General features: G+C 40.0%; 1 protein-coding gene across 23 annotated transcripts in view, besides 4 other annotated features; it reads right to left on the bottom strand.

The window, feature by feature from the left end:
- The window catches only part of PATJ (PATJ crumbs cell polarity complex component), a 421,436-nt gene that overhangs the window by 211,714 nt on the left and 185,137 nt on the right, over window positions 1-24,585 (bottom strand). For all 23 annotated transcript variants that reach the window (XR_007061928.1, XM_011540462.4, XM_011540467.4 and 20 more), the window contains one exon: window positions 24,373-24,472. Coding sequence is in view for 22 of the 23 variants with exons in the window: in XM_011540462.4 (XP_011538764.1) it covers window positions 24,373-24,472 (100 nt within the window). In the remaining variant the exon portion in view is untranslated. The remainder of the gene's footprint in view (window positions 1-24,372; window positions 24,473-24,585) is intronic.
- Window positions 1,066-1,868: an enhancer, noted in NCBI's record as "NANOG-H3K27ac-H3K4me1 hESC enhancer chr1:62416006-62416808 (GRCh37/hg19 assembly coordinates)". NCBI's record gives its function as "activates a minimal SCP1, AML or CMV promoter by ChIP-STARR-seq in primed H9 embryonic stem cells {active_cell/tissue: H9 hESC(primed)}" and the evidence as "EXISTENCE:reporter gene assay evidence [ECO:0000049][PMID:30033119]".
- Window positions 1,191-1,485: a silencer, noted in NCBI's record as "tiled region #795; HepG2 Repressive non-DNase unmatched - State 13:Ctcf". NCBI's record gives its function as "represses a minimal TATA promoter and a strong SV40 promoter by Sharpr-MPRA in HepG2 cells {active_cell/tissue: HepG2}" and the evidence as "EXISTENCE:reporter gene assay evidence [ECO:0000049][PMID:27701403]".
- Window positions 1,869-2,672: an enhancer, noted in NCBI's record as "NANOG-H3K27ac-H3K4me1 hESC enhancer chr1:62415202-62416005 (GRCh37/hg19 assembly coordinates)". NCBI's record gives its function as "activates a minimal SCP1, AML or CMV promoter by ChIP-STARR-seq in primed H9 embryonic stem cells {active_cell/tissue: H9 hESC(primed)}" and the evidence as "EXISTENCE:reporter gene assay evidence [ECO:0000049][PMID:30033119]".
- Window positions 8,714-9,214: an enhancer, noted in NCBI's record as "H3K4me1 hESC enhancer chr1:62408660-62409160 (GRCh37/hg19 assembly coordinates)". NCBI's record gives its function as "activates a minimal SCP1, AML or CMV promoter by ChIP-STARR-seq in primed H9 embryonic stem cells {active_cell/tissue: H9 hESC(primed)}" and the evidence as "EXISTENCE:reporter gene assay evidence [ECO:0000049][PMID:30033119]".

The following is a 24,585-nucleotide window of genomic DNA, read 5'->3' as shown; positions in this document are numbered from 1 at the left end:
CAATCAATTAAGCTAATTTCAAGCTAGTCCTCAAGCTAAACAGTCACCTCTGTCAGCAGGTGAAAGCTGCCTGGAAAACTATGCCGGAGAAGCAAAATCCCTGGTTTCCCACATCAGACCCTTGGATGCTTCACGCTGCTGACTGTGACACTCAGTTACCCTGCTCGCCTCAGGATAATAGCTCTATTTCAGAACAGGAGGCATTATAACCTCAACCATTTATTGTGGCCAGCTTCAATTAATATCATTTTAATGACCCAGCTTTCCTGCTGAGAAACGGTTCATCACATTAGTTACATCTTTCAAATGCAAATTAAAAGGAAACAGCAGTTGATTTTAGCCTGTCCAAAGTGAGGGGAACAGTCACCAACTTGCTCTCTCCTTAATGCTCCCAGCATTGAATCATGTTTATAACAAAGAAGCTGGTGAACCACACTGAGCATGTGGTATCTCTCCCCTAGCGAGATTCATTTGTATCTCAGTAACATTCTAAACGTGCAGTAAAGATTCTATTTAAGCAGTCAAGCCTTCAAGTTAGCTTTCAGGGGGGAAAAATATAAAAAAAAAATGTAGCTTCAGAAAACCCACTAGAAAAATGGTTGAGATTTCTTAAATTTCACTCAAAGTGCTACAGTGCACCCCCTACCCTACCCTACCCCCCACACACCTGAATACCATTATTTAACCAATTACAGTGACTTCAGAAGTATCTACCAATTATACAGTATAATCTTTCTTTGTAAAATGCAGAATAAAAAAATCATCTATGTGATCACTGTATCATATGAGTAATACTTAAAAAGTCAAGAATACCCAAAGAAAACTCAAATACTACTCAAAAGGTATTAAACAATACAATTTTTAATTTACAGTTATAATAAATACATCCAAATTATATCAAGCGCTGAAGCTGAGTTTTCAGAATAAAAAAAACAATAAAAAGCCAAGTTCATCAGTTTTCTCCAATTACAGAGCTAGAATACAAATTCTACTAAATAACTTTTTTTTTCCTTTTTTTTTTTTTAGACAGAGTTGCCCAGGCTGAAGTGCAGAGGTGCGCTTTTTAGACAGCTCTGTTGCCCAGGCTGAAGTGCAGAGGCGCGACCTTGGCTTACTGCAACTCCACCTCCCCGGTTCAAGCAATTCTCCTGCCTCAGATTCCGAGTAGCTGGGATTACAGGCATGTGCCACCAGGCCCAGCTAATTTTTGTATTTTTAGTAGAGATGGGGTTTCACCATGTTGACCAGGCTGGTCTTGAACTCTTGAGCTCAGGTGATCCGCCCGCCTGGGCCTCCCAAAGTGCTAGGTTTACAGGCATAAGACACTGTGTCAGCCTATTTTACTTAACTATGAAAAGCCCAAAAATGGATGATTGTGTAGGAAATGAGAAAAAGAATTTACATAAAACTAAAAAATGAAATCAGCCTTTATTTCTAACACTTTTCCATCCTATTTTGCATTGCCAAAAACAAACAAACAAAAAACAAAAAAAAGAACAAACATACTCAAATATTTGGTGAAATGAACATATAAATTTTGTTAAACACAGTTTGACGTGAACATTCTTAACATTCTTTAAATGCTTGGTAATAATTGCTGTTGATTGTAGTGACACCTATTGGCAAGGTAGAGATCAACTACAGAGTCCACAACGATACAAAAAATAGACAAAATTTTAAACCAAAAGAACTACTAGTTGCTCAATAAATCTTTATTACAAGTTTGCTTCATGCTAAAAACTGGCATGGCACACAGAGAAAGGCACTGGAAGGAAGTGCCTACATGTGGCCCTGAACATCAAATGAGAACCAGATTCTAGTGCTGGTTTCATCAGTAACTAATTTAGTGGTTTGGGGCAAATTAATCACTCTCTGTCTCAGCCTCCTCAACGTAAAATTAGATACCAAATGAGCTCTAAGGTTCTCAAACGCCATCACTGTCAAAAAAATACGTTGCTGTTGATTACTATACTTTTATTCCCTTATTTATTTATTTTTTAGGTGGAGTCTCGCTCTGTCACCCAAGCTGGAGTGCAGCAGCGTGATCTCGGCTCACCGCAACCTCCGCCTCCTGGGTTCAAGCGATTCTCCTGCCTCAACCTCCCCAGTAGCTGGGATTACAGGCACGTGCCACCACACCCAGCTAATGTTTTGTATTTTCAGTAGAGATGGGTTTCACCATGTTGGTCAGTCAGGCTGGTTTCGAACTCTTGACCTCAAGTAATCCGCCTGCCTTGGCCTCCCAAAGTGCTGGGATTACAGGCATGAGCCACCGTGCCTGGTCCCTTCTTTGCTTTTTTGAGACAGAGTCTCGCTCTGTCACCTAGGCTGGAGGGCAGTGGTGTGATCTTGGCTCACTGCAGCCTCTGCCAGGTTCATGTGATTCTCCTGCCTCAGCCTCCCAAGTAGCCAGTATTACAGGCATATGCCCCCATACCTGACTAATTTTTGTATTTGTAAAAAGACAGGGTTTCACCATGTTGAGCGGGCTGGTCTCGAACTCTTAACCTCAAGTGATCCACCTGCCTTGGCCTCCCAAAGTGCTGGGATTACAGGTGTGAGCTGCTGCACCTGGCCTATTCACTTCTTGGAAGTAATTTACAACCTGATCTCTCTTCTTTAATGTAGATCCTTTTATAATAACTTTTAACTCTCTTACGCATGTGATTCTTTAATTTAAAATTATATTTAACTTTGAAACATTTTTAAAAGTTTTACTGAGTATAATTTGCACACTATAAAATTCACTCACTGTAAATATACAATTCAATGATTTTTAGTATATTGGAGTTGTGCAACCATCACAACTATTTGGTTTTAGAACCTTCCCACTTCCCACCACCCCCCAAAAATTCCATCAAACCCAATCGCAACCCAGGCCTGCTTTCTCTCTATATAAATTTGTTTTTTATGGACAGTTTATGAAAATGGAACCATACAGTATGTAATGTTTTGCAGCAGGCTTCCTTTTTTTTTCTTTTTTTTTATTATTATACTTTAAGTTCTATGGTACACGTGCACAATGTACAGGTTTGTTACGTATATATACATGTGTCATGTTGTGCTGCACCCGTTAACTTGTCATTTACATTAGGTATATCTCCTAATGCAATCCCTCCCCGCTCCCCGCCGACCCCACAACAGACCCCAGTGTGTGATGTTCCCCACCCTGTGTCCAAGGGTTCTCACTGTTCAATTCCCACCTACGAGTGAGAACATGCAGTGTTTGGTTTTCTGTCCTTGTGATAGTTTGCTGAGAATGATGGTTTCCAGCTTCATCCATGTCCCTACAAATGACATGAACTTCTCCTTTTTTATGGCTGCATAGTATTCCATGGTGCATATGTGCCACATTTTTTTAATCCAGTCTATCACTGATGGACATTTGAGTTGGTTCCAAGTCTTTGCTATTGTGGATAGTGCCACAATAAACATACGTGTACAAGTGTCTTTATAGCAGCATGATTTATAGTCCTTTGGGTATATGCCCAGTAATGGGATGGCTGGGTCAAATGGTATTTCTAGTTCAAAATCCTTGAGGAATCACCACACTGTCTTCCACAATGGCTGAACTAGTTTACAGTCCCACCAACAGTGTAAAAGCATTCCCATTTCTCCACATCCTCTCCAGCACCTGTTGTTTCCTGACTTTTTAATGATTGCCATTCTAACTGGTGTGAGATGGTGTCTCATTGTGGTTTTGATTTGCATTTCTCTGATGGCCAGTGATGATGAGCATTTTTTCATGTGTCTGTTGGCTGCATAAATGTCTTCTTTTGAGAAGTGTCTGTCCATATCCTTTGCCCACTTTTTGATGGGGTTGTTTGATTTTTTCTTGTAAATTTGTTTGAGTTCATTGTAGATTCTGGATATTAGCCCTTTGTCAGATGGATAGATTGTAAAAATTTTCTCCCATTCTGTAGGATGCCTGTTCACTCTGATGGTAGTTTCTTTTGCTGTGTAGAAGCTCTTTAGTTTAATGAGATCCCATTTGTCAATTTTGGCTTTTGTTGCTATTGCTTTTGGTGTTTTAGACATGAAGTCCTTGTCCATGCCTATGTCCTGAATGGTATTGCCTAGGTTTTCTTCTAGGGTTTTTATGGTTTTAGGTCTAACATTTAAGTCTTTAATCCAACTTGAATTAATTTTTGTACAAGGTGTAAGGAAGGATCCAGTTTCAGCTTTCTACATATGGCTAGCCAGTTTTCCCAGCACCATTTATTAAATAGGGAATCCTTTCCCCATTTCATGTTTTTGTCAGGTTTGTCAAAGATCAGATGGTTGTAGATGTGTGGTATTATTTCTGAGGGCTGCTTCTATTCCATTGGTCTATATCTCTGTTTTGGTACCAGTACCATTCTGTTTTGGTTACTGTAGCCTTGTAGTACAGTTTGAAGTCAGGTAGCGAGATGACTCCAGCTTTGTTCTTTTTGCTTAGGATTGTTTTGGCAATGCGGGCTCTTTTTTGGTTCCATATGAACTTTAAAGTAGTTTTTTCCAATTCTGTGAAGAAAGTCATTGGTAGCCTCATGGGGATGGCATTCAATCTATAAATTACCTTGGGTAGTATGGCCATTTCCGTGATATTGATTCTCCCTATCCATGAGCATGGAATGTTCTTCCATTTGTTTGTATCGTCTTTTATTTTATTGAGCAGTGGTTTGTAGTTCTCCTTGAAGAGGTCCTTCACATCCCTTGTAAGTTGGATTCCTAGGTATTTTATTCTCTTTGTAGCAATTGTGAAGGGGAGTTCACTCATGATTTGGCTCTCTGTCCATTATTGGTGTATAAGAATGCTTGTGATTTTTGCACAGTGATTTTGTATCCTGAGACTTTGCTGAAGTTGCTTATCAGCTTAAGGAGATTTTGGGCTTAGATGATGGGGTTTTCTAAATATACAATCATGTCATCTGCAAACAGGGACAGTTTGACTTCCTCTCTTCCTAATTGAATATGCTTTATTTCTTTCTCCTGCCTGATTGCCCTGGCCAGAACTTCTAACACTATATTGAATAGGAGTGGTGAGAGAGGGCATCCCTGTCTTGTGCCAGTTTTCAAAGGGAATGCTTCCAGTTTTTGCCCATTCAGTACGATGTTGGCTGTGGGTTTGTCATAAATAGCTCTTATTATTTTGAGATACATCCCATCAATACCTAGTTTATTGAGAGTTTTTAGCATGAAGGGCTGTTGAATTTTGTCAAAGGCCTTTTCTGAATCTATTGAGATAATCATGTGGTTTTTGTCTTTGGTTCTGTTTATATGATGGATTACTTTTTTTGGTTTGCATATGTTGAACCAGCCTTGCATCCCAAGGATGAGGCCAACTTGATTGTGGTGGATAAGCTTTTTGATGTGCTGCTGGATTCGGTTTGCTGGTATTTTACTGAGGATTTCTGCATCGATGTTCATCAGGGATATTGGTCTAAAATTCTCTTTTTTTGTTGTGTCTCTGCCAGGCTTTGGTATCAGGATGATGTTGGCCACATAAAATGAATTAGGGAGGATTCCCTCTTTTTCTATGGATTGGAATAGTTTCAGAAGGAATGGTAGGAGCTCTTTTTTGTACCTCTGGTAGAATTCGGCTGTGAATCCGTCTGGTCCTGGACTTTGTTTGGTTGGTAGGCTATTAATTATTGCCTCAATTTCAGAACCTGTTATTAGTCTATTCAGAGAGTCAACTTCTTCCTGGTTTAGTCTTGGGAGGGTGTATGTGTCCAGGAATTTATCCATTTCTTCTAGATTTTCTAGTTTATTTGCATAGAGGTGTTTATAGTATTCTCTGATGGTAGTTTCTATTTCTGTGGGATTGGTGGTGATATCCCCTTTATCATTTTTTATTGCATCTCTTTGATTCTTCTCTCTTTTCTTCTTTATTAGTCTTGCTAGTGGTCTATCAATTTTGTTGATCTTTTCAAAAAATCAGCTCCTGGATTCACTGATTTTTTGAAGGGTTTTTTGTGTCTCTATCTCCTTCAGTTCTGCTCTGATCTTAGTTATTTCTTGCCTTCTGCTAGCTTTTGAATGTGTTTGCTCTTGCTTCTCTAGTTCTTTTCATTGTGATGTTAGGGTGTCAATTTTAGATCTTTCCTGCTTTCTCTTGTGGGCATTTAGTGCTATAAATTTCCCGCTACACACTGCTTTAAATATGTCCCAGAGATTCTGGTATGTTGCGTCTTTGTTCTCATTGGTTTCAAAGAACATCTTTATTTCTGCCTTCATTTCATTATGTACCCAGTAGTCATTCAGGAGCAGTTTGTTCAATTTCCATGCAGTTGAGCGGTTTTGAGTGAGTTTCTTAATCCTGAGTTCTAGTTTGATTGCACTGTGGTCTGAGAGACAGTTTGTTATGATTTCTGTTCTTTTGCATTTGCTGAGGAGTGCTTTACTTTCAACTATGTGGTCAATTTTGGAATAAGTGCGATGTGGTGCTGAGAAGAATGTATATTCTGTTGATTTGGGGTGGAGAGTTCTGTAGATGTCTATTAGGTCTGCTTGGTGCAGAACTGAGTTCAAGTCCTGGATATCCTTGTTAACTTTCTGTCTAATGTTGACAGTGGGGTGTTAAAGTCTCCCACTATTATTGTGTGGGAGTCTAAGTCTCTTTGTAGGTCTCTAAGGACTTGCTTTAGCAATCTGGGTGCTCCTATATTGGGTGCATATATATTTACGATAGTTAGCTCTTCTTGTTGAATTGATCCCTTTCCCATTATGTAATGGCCTTCTTTGTCTCTTCTGATATTTGTTGGTTTAAAGTCTGTTTTATCAGAGACTAGGATTGCAACCCCTGCTTTTTTTTTTGTTTTCCATTTGCTTGGTAGATCTTCCTCCATCCCTTTATTTTGAGCCTATGTGTGTCTCTGCACGTGAGATGGGTCTCCTGAACACAGCACACTGATGGGTCTTGACTCTTTATCCAATTTGCTAGTCTGTGTCTTTTAATTGGAGCATTTAGCCCATTTACATTTAAGGTTAATATTGTTATGTGTGAATTTGATCCTGTCATTATGATGTTAGCTGGTTATTTTGCTCGTTAGTTGATGCAGTTTCTTCCTAGCATCAGTGGTCTTTACAATTTGGCTTGTTTTTGCAGTGGCTGGTATCGGTTGTTACTTTCCATGTTTAGTGCTTCCTTCAGGAGCTCTTGTAAGGCAGGCCTGGTGGTGACAAAATCTCTTAGCATTTGTTTGTCTGTAAAGGATTTTATTTCTCCTTCACTTATGAAGCTTAGTTTGGCTGGATATGAAATTCTGGGTTGAAAATTCTTTTCTTTAAGAATGTTGAATATTGGCACCCACTCTCTTCTGGCTTGTAGAGTCTCTGCTGAGAGATCCGCTGTTAGTCTGATGGGCTTCCCTTTGTGGGTAACCCAACCTTTCTCTCTGGCTGCCCTTAACATTTTTTCCTTCATTTCAACTTCGGTGAATCTGACAATTTTGTGTCTTGGGGTTGCTCTTCTTGAGGAGTATCTTTGTGGTGTTCTCTGTATTTCCTGAATTTGAATGTTGGCCTGCCTCCCTAGGTTAGGGAAGTTCTCCTGGATAATATCCTGCAGAGTGTTTTCCAACTTGGTTCCATTCTCCCTGTCACTTTCAGGTACACCAATCAGACGTAGATTTGGTCTTTTCACATAGTCCTATATTTCTTGGAGACTTTATTCGTTTCTTTGTACTCTTTGTTCTCTAAGCTTCTCTTCTCCCTTCATTTCATTCCTTTGATCTTCAATCACTGATACCCTTTCTTCCACTTGATCAAATCGGCTACTGAAGCTTGTGCATTCGTCACGTACTTCTCGTGCCATGATTTTCAGCTCCAACAGGTCATTTAAGGACTTCTCTACACTGGTTATTCTAGTTGGCCATTCGCCTAATCTTTTTTCAAGGATTTTAGCTTCTTTGCAATTGGTTCAAACATCCTCCTTTAGCTCGGAGAAGTTTGTTATTACCAATCGTCTGAAGCCTTCTTCTCTCAATTCGTCAAAGTCATTCTCTGTCCAGCTTTGTTCCGTTGCTGGTGAGGAGCTGCGTTTCTTTGGAGGAGAAGAGGCGGTCTGATTTTTAGAATTTTCAGCTTTTCTGCTCTGGTTTCTCCCCATCTCCATGGTTTTATCTACCTTTGGTCCCTGATGATGGTGACATACCAATGGGGTTTTGGTGTGGATGTCCTTTCTGTTTGTTAGTTTTCCTTCTAACAGTCAGGACCCTCAGCTGCAGGTCTGTTGGAGTTTGCTGGGGGTCCACTCCAGACCCTGTTTGCCTGGGTATCACCAGCAGAGGCTGCAGAACGGCAGATGTTGCTGCCTGATCCTTCCTCTGGAAGCTTCGTCTCAGAGGGGCACCCAGCCGTATGAGGTGTCAGTCACCCTCTACTGGGAGGTGCCTCCCAGTTAGGCTACTCGGGGGTCAGGGATCCACTTGAGGAGGCAGTCTGTCTGTTCTCAGATCTCAAACTCTGTGGTGGGAGAACCACTACTCTCTTCAAAGCTGTCAGACACGGACGTTTAAGTCTGCAGAAGTTTCTGCTGCCTTTTGTTCAGCTATGCCCTGCCCCCAGAGGTGGAGTCTACAGAGGCAGGCAGGCCTCCTTGAGCTGCGGTGAGCTCCACCCAGTTCCAGCTTCCCGGCGGCTTCATTTACCTACTCAAGCCTCAGCAATGGGGGACACCCCTCCCCCAGCCTCACTGCCACCTCGCAGTTCGATCTCAGACTGCTGTGCTAGCAGCGACCGTGGGCGTGGGACCCTCCAAGCCAGGCACAGGACATAATCTCCTGGTATGCCGTTTGCTAAAGCTGTTGGAAAAGCGCAGTATTAGGGTGGGAGTGTCCCGATTTTCCAGGTACCCTCTGTCACAGCTTTCCTTTGCTAGGAAAGGGAATTCCCTGACCCCTCGCACTTCCTGGGTGAGGCGATGCCCCGCCCTGCTCCATGGGCTGCACCTACTGTCTGACAAGCCCCTGTGAGATGAACCCGGTACCACAGTTGGAAATGCAGAAATCACCCAACTTCTGCGTTGTTCACGCTGGGAGCTGTAGACTGGAGCTGTTCCTATTCGGCCATCTTGGAATCTTCTCAGCAGGCTTCCTTTACTTAGCATGATGAGAATGTAGCAGCATTGAACTCCTTTTCATTGCTGAATAGTATTCCACTGTATGGATATACACTATGTATATCCTGTCACCAGTTGATGGACATTTGGCTTGTTTCCAGTTTTTGGCTATTATGAATAATGCTGCTACGAACTTCTGTGGAGTAGAGTTTGTGTGGACACATGTTGTCATTTCATTTGGGTATATACCTAGAAGTGAAATTGCTGGGTTGTATAGTAAACCTATATGCAGACTTTTAAAGAAACTGCTGGCTGGGCATGGTGGCTCATGCCTGTAATCCTAGCACTTTAGGAGGCTGAGGCAGGCGGATCACCTGATGTGAGGAGTTCCACCAGCCTGGCCAACACAGTGAAACCCCGTCTCTACTAAAAATACACAAATTAGCTGGGTGTGGTGGTGGGTGCCTGTAATCCCAGCTACTCAGGAGGCTGAGGCAGGAGAATTGCTTAAACCCGGGAGGCAGAGGTTGCCGTGAGCTGAGATCGTGCCCCTGTACTCCAGCCTGGATGACAGAGTGAGACTCCCTCTTAAAAAAAAAAAAAAAGAAACTGCCAAACTGCTTTCCAAAATGGCTGGACCATTTCACACTCCCACCAGCAGTGTATGAAGATTCCAGTTGTACTGTCTATCATTTTGCATTAAAATCATTCTAGTGAATGTGCAGTGATTTTAGTTTGCATTTCCCTAATAACTAATGATATTGAGGATCTTTTTATTAGCCATTCAGATGTCTTTGGTGAAGTATCATTTCAAGTTTTGGCCCATTTTCAAAAATTGAGTTAGTTGTTTTCTTATTATGAGCTGTAAAAAGAAATGCTTTTTTTCTTTCAAATAAGCATATTTTGTTATATAGAATTCAAGTAAATTAAATAAAGTTGAAAGCATATATTTTTTCTCAAACCTCCTCTCTCAAAGTAGTTCTGTACATTCTTCTGTACTTTTTTCAATAAAAGAAAAAATACTAGGAATCCTGCAAAGTTCAGCTTTGACCTTTAGAATTTGGTTAAAAACTGCTATTTGGCTTTGACCTCCAGAAGGCCAAATGAAAGATACATCATTCATGGCACCACTGAAGCAGTGCAAGATCAATAATCTGGTGACAGCACATGTTAAGAATGAAAACAAAACTGTATTTATTAATGGCAATAATTCAAACAAGACTGACATTTGGATTTACTGTTACTATTTAGAGTAGCATTCTTGAAGTAACTTTGAAGTGAAAAATCTCTTTCAGTGACAAATGTGGTTGCTATGCTGAAATTCTATCAATTAATTGAAGTAGAATGGTTATTACTACCAGAGTAAAATATTAAAATAATTAAAGACAGGGATGAAAGCTGTAAGTTTTTATATTAAAATTTATTAAAAAGTTAAGTAGGAAAAAATGTTGACAGTTAATATGACTATTAAGAGAATTAACTTTTATTTATTTATTTATTTATTTATTGAGACAGAGTCTCACTCTGTTGCCCAGGCTGGAGTGCAGTGGCATGATCTGTGCTCACTGCAACTTCCACCTCCGCAGCTCAAGCAATTCTCGTGCTTCAGCCTATCAAATAGCTGGGACTACAGGTGTGTGCCACCACACCTGGCTAATTTTTGTACTTTTTGTAGAGATGGGGTTTCACCATGTTGGCCAGGCTGGTCTTGAACTCCTGATCTCGAGAGATCTGCCTGCCTCAGCCTCCCAAAGTGCTGGGATTACAGGCATGAGCCATCGTGCCCGGCTGAAAATTAACTTTATAAACAACATTATACTCTTTGTGAGTCAACAACTGTTCATAAAACGTAAATGCTACAAGGTAGAATAATAAAGTTATGCCATAAGTTTGTTGGGAATGTTTGGCAAACTAGCACTCACATTAAACAAAGTAAACTTTAAAAGCTATTATTTTTAGTTTTTAGATTCCATCTGAACCATTAACTTTTCTCAAAAAATTTTCCTGTGTATTCTTCCTACGTAGGGAGAAATGAAGTTAAAGTAAAATGTCAACCCTACAGCATCAAAATTCCATAGGAAATATGCCAATTCATATTATATACAATTGCTTCTATGGCATATCCACCTTTGATCCAGGGAAAATAAAGAGTAAGAAGAGAAAAAGTATTAGAGAAAAGTGAAGTACTCCAAAATGCCTTTCTCTCCTAGTGATCTCAGTTGAAAGTGAAAATGTAATACTGTGAAGATGCAAAGGTGAGCAGAGAGAATCCAGCAGTAAACAGTGTTAATAAAGTACCGGTCCTATTCAATCTTGCTAAACTTAAAAAAACTGACTTCCAAAATTTAAATAAATTAAATAATAATTTTAGATAAAAGGTTAACATACTCTTATGCTAGAATTTCTTTTTCTTTTCTTTTTCTCTTTTTTTTTTTTTGTTTTTTGAGATGGAGTCTTGCTCTGTTGCCAGGCTGGAGTGCAATGGCATGATCTCAGGTCACTGCAACCTCCACCTCCCGGGTTCAAGTGATCCTCCAGCCTCAGCCTCCCGAGTAGCTGGGACTACAGGTGCGTGCCACCACACCCAGCTGATTTTTTGTATTTTTAGTAGAAATGGAGTTTCACCACGTTGACCAGGATGGTCTCAATCTCTTGACCTCGTGATCCGCCCATCTCGGCCTCCCAAAGTGCTGGGATTACTGGCGTGAACCACTGCGCCCGGCTAGAATTTCATTTTCTAATGGCAATATGTGGCACACATTGAAGAATTTTATATTACTACTGATAATAATAAAAAGCAGTAGCTAGCACTTCTGCTAGCATTTCTGGAGCACTTCCCATGTGCCACTTCTTATATAAATGCATATCTTCTAATCTCTCATAATAACACTGTGAAAAGGGTATTATTGTTATCATATTCCCAATCTTAAAATGAGGAAACTAAAGGAAATAGATGCGACTTGCTCCAGCTCAAATGCCTACAAAAATTTAGAGGCTAAGTGGCTTAGTCAAAGTAAATGATGTATTAAATACATAAATATATATTACTACAATTGCTATTAGTAAAAAATGCTGAAGTAAACATCTTTGTAGAGATATATATCTAAATACACATATATTTACATGGACAATGACTCCCTTAGGATATGAAGCTGAATTATTCTGTCAAAGAATAAGCATATATAGGCCGGGCGCGGTGGCTCACACCTGTAATCCCAGCACTTTGGAAGGCCGAGGCGGGCGGATCACCTGAGGTCAGGAGTTTGAGACCAGCTTGGCCAACATGGTGGAACCATGTCTCTACTAAAAATATAAAAATTAGTCAGGCATGGTGGTGGGTGTCTGTAATCCCAGCTATTCGGGAGGCTGAGGCAGGAGAAACACTTGAACTGGGAGGCGGAGGTTGCAGTGAGCCGAGATCACACCACTGCAGTCCAGCATGGGCGACAACGTCTCAAAAAAAAAAAAAAAAAAAAAAAAAAGCACATAGAAACTTTTTATACATGCTGCCAAACGGGTGCTCAAAAAGAGGTAAAATGATTCCTATTCCTACCAACAGTATATAACAACTCCTGTTTTTCTACAACCACTCTAACAATGATGATTAATATTGTTAAAATATTAAGTACTCTGATAGGCAAAAAAAACCTGATTTTTATAGTTACACTTATTATTAGTGAGGCTGAACACAGATATTTTGTACTTGTTACCCAAATATAACTTATTTTGTTAAATACTGCCTGATCTTTGCTTGTTTTTCTATTGTCCTCTGACTGTATATATATGTGTGTGTGTGTGTGTCTTTCTTCTGACTGTGTGTGTGTGTGTGTGTGTGTGTGTGAATGCAAAGTTTTTAATTTTTATGTAAGAAAACACATGATCATTGTCCGTTATTGTTTTGGTAATAATAATTTGAAAGGCTTTTCTCTGTACCAAGGTTATATTTTAAAAATACCTTATATAGACTTTTTGTAGTATTTCTATGATTTCAGTTTTTAGAATTACATGAATTTTTTTTTTTTTTTTTTTTTTTTTTGAGATGGAGTCTCGCTCTGTCGCCCAGGCTGGAGTGCAGTGGAACGATCTTGGCTCACTACAACCTCCGCCTCCTGGGTTCAAGCGATTCTCCTGCCTCAGCCTCCCAAGTAGCTGGGACTACAAGCGCCCGCCACCACGCCTGGCTAATTTTTTTTTGTATATTTAGTAGAGACGGTGTTTCACCAAGAATTACATGATTCTTTTTAAATCAATTTGTAATTTTCTTGAGAAGATCTCCACATTTTATCCCCAAATGAGTACACAGTCGATCATTTATTGAATCATCTATCTTATTTCTACTATTTAGAAAAAAAAATTTTTTTATGCTCTAAATTCTAAATAAACACCTGGGACTATTTCTACACCAATTTTAATGCAAATATTGAACTGATTTTATTCCTGCAGTTAAAAAATTATTTATTTATTTATTTTTAACAGAGATGAGGTCTCACTATGTTGTCCAGGCTGGTCTCAGACTCCTGGGCACAAGTGATCCTCCTGCCTCAGCTTCCCAAAGTGCTAGAATTACAGGTGTGAGCCACCACACACAGCCTATTACTGTTAGTTTGTTTTTTTATTTCAACTTTTATTTTAGATACAGGGGGTACATGTGCAGATTGGTTACATGAAAATATTACATGATGCTGAGGTTTGGCATATAGATCCCTGTCATCCAGGTAGTAAGCATAATACCAGATAGATAGCTGTTTTGTTTTGTTTTGTTTCTTGTTTTTTTTTTAAACACCCCACCCTCTCTACTACTGCAACTTTAAACAATGTTTATAATCAAGAATGCTGTTACAATACTAGCACTCTGGACAAAATAATTCTTCCTTGTAAGGGACCATACCTTGATACCCCAACCAATCAATGACAGTAGAATCCCCCATCCACTTAGACCAGGGGCCACTTGGCAAGGTGCAGAAACGTTTTTGGTTGTTATAACTGTGGTGAGTGGGAGGGTACTATCAGCATCTAGTGGGAAAAGGCCTGGGATGCTGTTAAACATCCTACAATGCAAAGGACTGCCCCAAAACAAAGAATTATTCTCTCAAGACAGCAACAGTACCAAGATGGAGAAAACACTCACATTCATGTCTAAAAGCTCCAGACTGAGTTTGAAAAGCACCAGTTTAGAAGAGATTCAGATACAAAAAAAGGCAAGTCCCTAGGCCAGGCGTGGTGGCTCATGCCTGCAATCCCAGCACTCTGGGAGGCCGAGGCAGGTGGATCATCTGAGGTTGGGAGTTTGAGACCAGCCTGACCAACATGGGGAAACCCTATCGCTACTAAAAACACAAAATTAGCCAGGTGTGGTGGCGCATGCCTGTAATCTCAGCTACTTGGGAGGCTGAGGCAGGAGAATCACTTGAATTCAGGAGGCGGAGGTTGTGGTGAGCTGAGATCGTGCCATTGCGCTCCAGCCTGGGCAACAAGAGCAACGCTCCGTCTCAAAAAAAAAAAAAAAAAGAAGAAGAAAGTCCCTCGTCATTATCTTTCTTTTCCAAAACTGCCTAGTATTTTATCTCTAAGTCAATTTTCAATCAAGTGCTTGTATTTTTTTTAAAGACTATTCCACCTAGCAAGCAGATGGATTTAAATTACCTTAAATTTACAGATGGATTTAGAAATAACTGAAATCTGTAATACACTTAGTTTTCCAATCAGGAAAATAGTATGGCACTCTATATTTTTCCCAAAATCTTTAATAAAGTTTCCTAATTTTCTATAAGAAAGAAACTATATTGTAGTCCCAGCTACTCAGGAGGCTGAGGCGGGAAGATTGCTTGAGCTCAGGAGGTCAAGGTTGCAGTGAGCCAGGATCATGCCACTGCACTCTAGCCTGGGTGACAGAACGAAACTGTCTCAAAACGAAAAAAGAAAGAAACTATGGGGATTGTTAACCAGTGGTCCTTGAATTCTTAAATGGGCTTCAAGACTCCCACAAAGCTGAAAAAATGTTACATAAAATGTTGTGTGTATATGTGTGTGCACCCATGCACATGGGTGACAGTGTTTCTGTGTATTTGCATACATTTTTCTGGGGAGTAGGTTTATAGCTTTCATTGCAGTGGCACTGAATAAACGACTCGAAGCTATGAGTCATTGCCATGACTTTTATGTTCCGAATTGCATTGTTCCTGGATATTTCCTATTTTTTACAGTTATTGCTATTAGGAAATTTATATCACATTTCCTAAGTAGATAATACTGATAAGAAGATTTAAAAAGATGTATCATTCGGCCAGGCGTGGGGTCTCATGCTACCTGTAATCCCATCACTTTGAAAGGAGGCCGACGTGGGCAGATCACTTGAGCTCAGGAGTTTGAGACCAGCCTGGTCAACATGGTGAAACCCCATCTCTACTAAAAATACAAAAATTAGCTGGGTGTGGTGGTGTGTGCCTGTAATCCCAGCTACTTGGGTGGCTGAGGCACGAGAATCGCTTGAACCCTGGAGGCGGAGGTTACAGTGAGCCGAGATCACGCCACTGCACTCCAGCCTGGGTGACAGAGCGAGAGACCCTGTCTCAAAAAAAATAGAAGTACAATTCATATATAGCCTTACTTATTATAGCCAAAATACTCTGTAGGTTTTGAATTTTTGAGACTGACAATTATATGACCATCTGTAAATAATAATTTAATTTGTTCTCTTCCTTTCCGGCTTTTTTTTTTTTTTTTTTTGGTCTTGGAAGAGGAGAGGAGGTGAGCTTAATGCATTGCTAGGTTCTTGAGGACAGTGGGGCTAGCAAGTATTCTGTTTTCTCCTAAACTTGAATATAGAATATTTTTTGCAAGAAGGGGAGAGGTTTGGGATAGGTTTCCTACTCCACTCCATGGGAACACATAAGAATTACTTTTTAAAAAATTAAAATATATATGTATATATATTTTATATGTGAAATGAATTTTAAATAAATATGAAGTGGAGTGACTGCTAATGAGTAGGGATTTGGGGGGAAGTGTGATGAAAATGTCCTAAATGTTCTAAAATTAATAGTGGTGACAGTTGAACAATTCTGAATATACTGAATTGATAGCCACTGAATTATGCATTTTAAGAAGGTGAATTATATGGTATGTGAATTATATCTCAATAAAGTTGTTATTTTTTTTAAAGTTATCCCTTCTAAGCTTAAAAAAGACTGTGACTCTGAGTAACAGAATTGATAATAAACCACATTTCACAAGGACTTAGCTAGTATCCTGTTCTTAAAATAATTGAAATAAAACAATAAGAATTAAAGTAAAACATGAAGATGCAAGGAATTGGTAATCTAAGTTTTTATTTGCATCGGGCAGTACACAGGTTAATTTTTTTTTTTTCAGACAGGGTCTCACTCTGTTGCCCAGGCTGGAGTATAGTGGCACAATCATGGCTCACTGTAACCTTGACCTCCCAGGTTCAACTGATCCTCCTGCCCCAGCCTCCTGAGTAGCTAGGATCATAGGCATGCACCAACACACCCAGTTAATTCTTTTGTTTTTTGTAGACAGGGTCTTATTATGTTGGCCAGGCCAGTCTGGAATTCCTGGGTTCAAGCAACCCACTCGCCTTGGCCTCCCAAAGTGCTGGGATTAGAGGAATGAGCCACTACGCCTGGCCACACAGGTTAATTTTATAATTATGCTTCATAATCCAAATATACTCTTTATACCAAACATTCCATTATGATATAAGATGACCAGGTCTTTTCTGGGAAAAACAAAATTAGGGTGGAAAAACAAAATTAGGGTAGAAAAACAAAATACCTATGACAGCGTGCTTTTCTGAAATTAAAGTATAAAGGAAGGGCTTTAGGATTCCTACAGTGTGGGGTTCCATTCATATCTCTGCTAGGTCCTTAAAAGCCAGTGGCAGCAAACAAGTCAATTATACTGAGTTTCTAGGACCTTATCTGCATAGACAGAGACATGTCTATAATGTGGTTCTCATTGTTTCTTTATGACTACTCTCTTACATGTTACAAAAAGTCATTCCAAAGCCTTCTGCTCCCCATAGTTGAAAAATGTCGCTGAAAGAATGAATGCTTGCAGGTTAGAAAGACCTGGCTGTTGTAAAAGCATTTAACCTCTGGGATCAAAGTGATCAAAGCAGGGATTTCTGGGGATAGACGCTTCTCTCTCAGGAGACTGAAGCTTTTAGATAAGGTAGGAAATGGCATGTGGGGAAAGAGAAGTCAAGCTGTTCTGCACAGAATGCTCCGAAACTAGGTGGATGGTGCGGTTCGGCAGAAAGAGTATCTCCGAAGCACCACGAGCAAACCTGCATTTTCATCACATCCCCACTGTTGACTATCCGAGGCATATACCCTCTGCCATTAATTCGGCCAAATACTAGGTTTGTATAACGTCCCAGGCCAAAACAGAGAGGGTCATTAGCCTCATGGAACTTAGAGTGTTAAGTGGGGAAGACAGATATTAATCTAGTAAGTACATTAAAATGATATTTTGTTAACTGCTATAAAGGAAAAATGCAGGAATCTATACTGAACTAAGGAGTCAGGCAAGCTTTTCCAAAGGAGGTGACACTAAGCTGAAATCAACAGAAGGTATAATACCTTCTTCAAAGGCTCTTCTGTATATCCAATGAGAATGCATTCAAAGAGTTGGGGAGAATGTATGGCACATAGCAGGTACTCAAGAGACTGTGATTATTACCGTGTAATTACTAAAACTGTGGTGATAAAAATGTAAAGGGCTGGGCATGGTGGCTCACACCTGTAATCCCAGCACTCTGGGAGGCCAAAGCAGGCGGATCACCTGAGGTCGGGAGTTCAAGACCAGCCTGGCCAACATGATGAAACCCCATCTCTACTAAAAATACAAAATTAGCCGGGCGTGGTGGCGCATGCCTGTAATCCCAGCTACTTGGGAGGCTGAGGCAGGAGAATCACTTGAACCCGGGAGGCAGAGGTTGCGGTGAGCCGAGATCGTGCCACTGCACTCTAGCCTGGGCAACAAGAGCGAAACTCCATCTCAACAACAATAACAACAACAACAAAATACAAAAATTAGCGGGGCGCAGTGGCATGCACCTGTAATCCCAGCTACTGAGGAGGCTGAGGCAGGAGAATTGCTTGAACCCGGGAGGCAGAGGTTGCAGTGAGCCGAGATTGCACCACTGCACTCCAGCCTGGGCGACAGAGCAAGACTCCATCTCGAAAAAAAAAAAATGTAAAGGAACAACTACGAATGCGAAAGAGACTGGGAATAAAGATTCATGTATGTTTGTTGATCCATTGTCAGGAAGAGAAATAACAAACAGAAGAGAAGTTTCATTTTAGGGTTGGGGGATGGGAGTGCTGGTAATGGCTTGAGCCAAAACTGAGACTAGAAGGTAAAAGGTCAGCCTTGGAGAAGACATAACATTTTATTTTGGTTAGAAAATTGAAAGTGCTAGTGGAAAAAAGACATGGCATCTTCTTAACAGCCTACTAAAAATTTGGGTCATAAGATCAAAGAAGGATTAAAGTTAGAAAAGAAGACTTTCAAGTCACCACATAACAGTCAACTGAGTGATCTCTTTATGCTCTCAGTGATCTTGAATTCTTTTTTTCCTTTTTTTTTTTTTTTTGAGATGGAGTCTCACTCTGTCGCCAGGGTGGAGTGCAGTGGCACGATCTCGGCTCACTGCAACCTCTGCCTCTCAAGTTCAAGCGATTCTTCTGCCTCAGCCTCCCAAGTAGCTAGGATTACAAGGAGCCCGCCACTACGCCCAGCTAATTTTTTGTATTTTTAGTAGAGACGGGGTTTCACCATGTTGGCCAGGCTGGTCGTGCACTCCTGACCTTGTAATTCGCCTGCCTCAGCCTCCCAAAGTGCTGGGATTACAGGCGTCTGATTTTAATTCCAGGTATGAAAGGCCATTTCCACAAAGTTAAGTCAAAAGTTCCTGCACCATCAATACATACCTTTGACAAATCCTGCAACCTTTGATAATGGTAGTTTTGCCAAGAGCTACGCATTGATGCAGTACATTGTTTCTTAATTTTTTCATAATTCTCAATTAATTTCACTAATTGAACCAGAGTTCAATTATAAGACTTCTTACGATAATTAGACACCAGGATGTCATAAAATATGTGCAACTATGCAAGATAAGTGAGCTAAAATAGAAATGCCCATTACATACCAAACTCTCTATATTGGTTGTTACATTTAAGTTTCATAATAATCTGAACAATAATTACTATGCTTATTATTTTTTGAGGGGGTCGGACAGAGCCTTCCTCTGTTGCCTAGGCTGGAGTGCAGTGGCGCAATCTCGGCTCACTGCAACCTCTGCCTCCAGGTTCAAGTGATACTTGTGCCTCAGCCTCCCGACTAGTTGGGACTACAGGTGTGCAACACCACACCCAGCTAATTTTTGTATTTTTAGTAGAGACGGGGTTTCACCATGTTGGCCAGGCTGGTCTTGAACTCCTGACCTCAGGTGATCCACCCACCTCGGCCTCCCAAAGTGCTGGGATTACAGGGGTGAGCCCCTGCGTCCCGCACACTACAGTTATTTTATCAAGCGTCCTCTTTCTCTTCTTCCTCATCAATTTCTTGTTAAATTCAATGGTTATTTTCATGTCTCCAGCCTCCTCAACTTCTTAGCAGCATTCCACCCTTGACCATTGAAGGTCAGTGACAGCCTTCTTGAAACACCTTTCTCTCATAAACAACACAATCCCCTAATCTCCTGGAAGTGCTCCTTGCTGGCTCATGGAGCAGGTGCTGGGTTTGCTTCTTGTTGCTGTCTACACACTACTCCTAAGTAAACTTATGGGCTCCCATGACTTTAAAGACCATTTCGATCAGTGGTTTCGGTTTTCAGAGTGTAGTCTCTGGATCGGAAGTATAATACCAGCATCACCTGGAAACTAATTCTAAATGCAAATGATCAGGTCCAGGCTTAAGGAATCAGAAATGGCTGGGGCTGTGTGTGTGTTGGGGGGGCAGGCAGGGAATGACCATGACTATCAATTACTGTTTTAACAAGCTTTCTGGAACCTCCTGAGGCACACTGAAGTTTGAAAGCCATGGATCTAAATTAGTGTTTTTCATAATGCAGGTTGCGACTTGTTTGTTAGTCATAAAATATACTGAGTTGCAACCAACATTTAAAAACATGAAATAGAATAAAATAAAAAGAATAAAATTCACACATTATAAAGGTAAGTAATATTTCATGAAACTTTTGTTTCAGTTTTACATACATGTTCCTGTGTGTATGTGTGCATCTATACTGGTTAAGTGAAGTGTATTTCACTGTGGGTCACAGTCTCAAAAAAGCCCTTATCTATATGATGACTACATGAGCCAGATCTTTGCAGTGTGGTTCCTTCTTCATTTAGGTTTCATTTTTGAGACAGAGTCGCACTCTGTCATTCAGCCTGGAGTGCAGTGGCATGATTTTGGCTCACTGAAACTTCCACCTCACAGGCTCAAGCTATCCTCTCACCTCAGCCTTCCAAGTGGGTGGGACTATAGATGTTCACCACCATACCCAGTTAATTTTTTGTAATTTTTGTAGGGATGGGTTTTGCCATGTTGCCCAGGCTGGTCTTGAACTCCTGGACTCAAGTGATCCACCTGCCTTAGCCTCCCAAAGTGCTGGGATCACAGGCGTGAGCCACTGCACCCAGCCTATTTGGGCTTTTCTTAACAATTCTTTGTCTCGTCCAATGCACTTATTCTCATGCTATCATGTTTTGTTTTTATTTTTTATTTTTGTTTTAAAATTTATTTTTAACATAATTTTTAAATTTTATTACTTTGTTTTATTCATAGTCCTTATCACTATTTAAACTATCTGATTGTTTATAATCTTTCTCCCCACCAGAATCTAAGCTAATGAGAGCAACAGCCATGTTCCCTGCCATATTCTCAACACCTAGAACAGTGTCTCCCAAATGCATAACATCCACTCAATAAACACTTCTTATCTGAATAAACTTTATAAATAAGCAACTAGCAAAGCCAGCTCTTAACATGCTTTAGACTAGTGTGTGATGGCTCACGCCTATAATCCCAGCACTTTGGGAAGGATAGTTTGAGCCGAGGAGTTTGAGACCAGACTGGGCAAAATAGCAAGATTCCATCTGTACAAAAAAAATAAAAAAATTAGGCTGGGCGTGGTGGCTCATGCCCATAATCCCAGCACTTTGGGAGGTCGAGGCGGGCGGATCACCTGAGGTCGGGAGTTTCAGACCAGCCTGACCAACATGGAGAAGAAACCCTGTCTCTACTAAAAATACAAAATTAGTGGTGGCGCATTCCTATAATCCCTGCTACTCCGGAGGCTGAGGCAGGAGAATCGCTTGAACCCAGGAGGCAGACGATGCAGTGAGCTGAGATCATGCCACTGCATGCCAGCCTGGGCAACAAGAGCAAAACTCCATCTCAAAAAAAGAAAAAAAAATTAGCCAGGCTTGGTGGCACACACTTGTGGTACCAGCTACTTGGGAAACTGAGGCTTCAGTGAGCCATGATTGAGCTACTGCACTCCAATCTGGATGACAGAACAAGACCCCATCTCAAAAAACCCCCAAAACCATGTGTATCTCATCCCTGGATCTCTCTAATAAAATCAGCACTTCCCTGTAGGCCTAGGGCTTACACTGCAGCCATCCGCTTCAGAATCATGGTCCTTGGGAAAGTTATGTAGCCATACTTTCATCACTGTAAAAACAAAGGCTTAGTCTTCGGACAAGAATCTGATAAAACAGCAACCCGAAATACTTTTAGTTTAGACAGATGAGCAGAGTGTTCATTTAACATGAGTCAAGGAACAAAGAAAAACCCATGGGATCTATTTCAAAGGGAAATACGGGAAGGCCAGAGGCTTCAGGTTCACTTGCATTTCAAATGTGAATTATCTAACAAATACCTCCATACAGTTCAAATTCTTCTGGAGGAGGTTAACAGTAAATTTAATGGGGTGTAAAATGGGGACTGTACACGGGGAAGGAAAAAAATTAGGAAGCAAAATGAATGAAGAGAAAAGTAATATATACAGCCAACATAGGTCTCCTGGAGAATCTGTGAAATGTATAATATTATAGCTCAAGAATGGCTCAATATTAGAAGTCTTTTTCTGCATTTAAGGTAAATTAGCCTCCTTCCTGACCCCACTGCTGCCGTGTATATGTGCCTGTGCATATGAGCTTGTAACTTTGGGGAGGACACTGCTGAGTCTGCCTATTTTAGGCATAAAAGTGATATTTAAAAGAGAACCCCAAATCACTCTGTACCTATTTCTTTTCTTTTTTTTAAGAGAGGGGGTTTCACCATGTTGGTCAGGCTAGTCTTGAACTCCTGACTTCAGGTAAGCCGTCTGCCTCGGCCTCCCAAAGTGCTGGAATTACAGGCGTGAGCCACTGTGCCCAGCTGTACCTATTTCTGCAATCATAATGAGTTTTAAGTAACAGCAAGTATCGATGATGTTATAGGCTCTGGAGTAAGAGTACATGGGTTTGAACCCCATTTCTACTATTTGTTAGCTGTCTAACTTTGGACACATTCTTTAATTTCTCTGAGCTTTCATTTGTATAATTAGAACTTCACAAAGTTAGTATGTTGACTGAGTTAATACTACACATAAAGGCTTTAAAACAATGCCTGGCACATGGTAAACCAGAGCATTTACTAGGTATCACACTGCCTGTACTAAGCTCTTCAAAAGCTTTTTCTCCTCTAATTGTCACAACAATACTATGAGGCAGGTTATAAGATATTCGCTCACCCCCACATAGATAAGCAAGTGTGAATCATGAAGAAGTTAAATAACTTTTCCAAAAACTCACAACTAGCAAGTAATAGAACTAGGATTAGAACATAATCTTAGGTGCACACCTCAACCAGGTTTCCCAATAACTGGGCAAATACTGGCCTTCTAGGAAACCAGAATGTATGGAGTAACAACAATTCAGCTCCATTCCGTGGCAGCTGACATGATATCTATATCAGAACAAGGAAATATATTACACATGTGCACATACATATCAACTTTTTACACCATGTGTAGCTCTCCAAAAAGAAGCTGAGAACTAAAGCCCACAGTACACTTATCACACTTTATTCCCATGCCTTTGCATTATCCCTTCCGAGGTGGTGGCTCAATCAAGACAAAAGGAGCAATGTGTTATTCACTTCATAGCAGACTCACTTAACACTGTTACTAAAAAGCAGATGGTATTCAACAAAGATTTATTGAATGCATGAAGAAAATGACACGAGAAAGGGCTTCATAAAATTGCAAAGTACAATTCAAGTTTTTATAATCAGCTTAATTATCATAAAGTTATTTATTTTATATTTTATTTCTATTTATATATTCGTTATTATATTAAGAAAAATATAAATAGTAATTATTATAACCATAATAGGAGCTATAATACTTATCAAAGACTCACTATGTGGCAGGTTAAAGGCTTTATTGCTTTATTTTAATCCTCATTACAACCCTATGAAGTAGGTATCATTATTGTACCCTTTTTATAGAGGAGGGCATATTTAAGGTCACACTCTAGGAACTGCTAGAGTAAGAATTTTGACTCAATTTCAATATTGAATTCCTTTTCTATATTGTAGAAGGGAAAACATTCTGTTAAGGAAACATATGTTTCACATACCATAAAATTCACCAGTTTACAATGTATAAGTCAGTGATTTTAATATATTCACAAACTGTACAACCATCACCACTATCTAATCTTAGAACATTTCATCACCTCCAAAAGAAATTTGGTATACATTAGCAATAGTATACACTAGACGCACATAAAAGAAATGCAAATTATTTTAGGTAAAGCCACAGTTAAATATATGTATGAATGCATATTTGATTCATCTAATGCAAAAGAAAATCATGAAATGAATTTTAAAGGACAAAATACAAGTTGGTGGGCCTTCTGTAATCCTGCATTAGCAACATCACTTTGAGTAAGGCAAGTAATCAACAACTGAAATCTACATCCAACCCAGATAATTATGGGTCAAATTCTAATTTCAAAGACTAGGGACATTTTTGTATTCACAACCAAACAATAAGATTAGAAGGGAATATAGGAAAAATAGTGTACAGCATAGCTTCCTTCAATATTCCCTTTCTCAGTGTCCAAGGGAAAAGCTTAGGAAATGACGCCACAAAAGCTTCAAAGGTATAGATTTGATTTTTTAGCATACATTCATGCACATTTTTGAAGAACTCACAGCCATATATTTGATAATTTACAACAGTCGTTAAAACATAATTTAATAAGTTCTGCATCTACCCTAAATAGTGAAAAGGCACTCACGGTCGGTAAAGGCATCTTCTTCTTCATTTTCATCACTGTCATCAGTCAGAGCTTTATAAGGAGGAGGAAGTTTCATTGGCGGTGGAGCAGTTCCTTGCCTCTGAAGATGCAAAATTTGAGAGAAGGGTTAAATGCTTCTTGTACAATGCTCTTTCTTCAATGACAAAAAGCATAAAAAGATAGTCTGGAAATATTTAGACCATACCCAACTTC

This window comes from Homo sapiens, chromosome 1 (assembly GCF_000001405.40).
Source record: "Homo sapiens chromosome 1, GRCh38.p14 Primary Assembly".
In the NCBI taxonomy this organism is placed as follows: Eukaryota; Metazoa; Chordata; class Mammalia; order Primates; family Hominidae; genus Homo; species Homo sapiens.
Note: the sequence above shows the minus strand (reverse complement) of the source record. Positions and strands in the feature narration are given on the sequence as shown.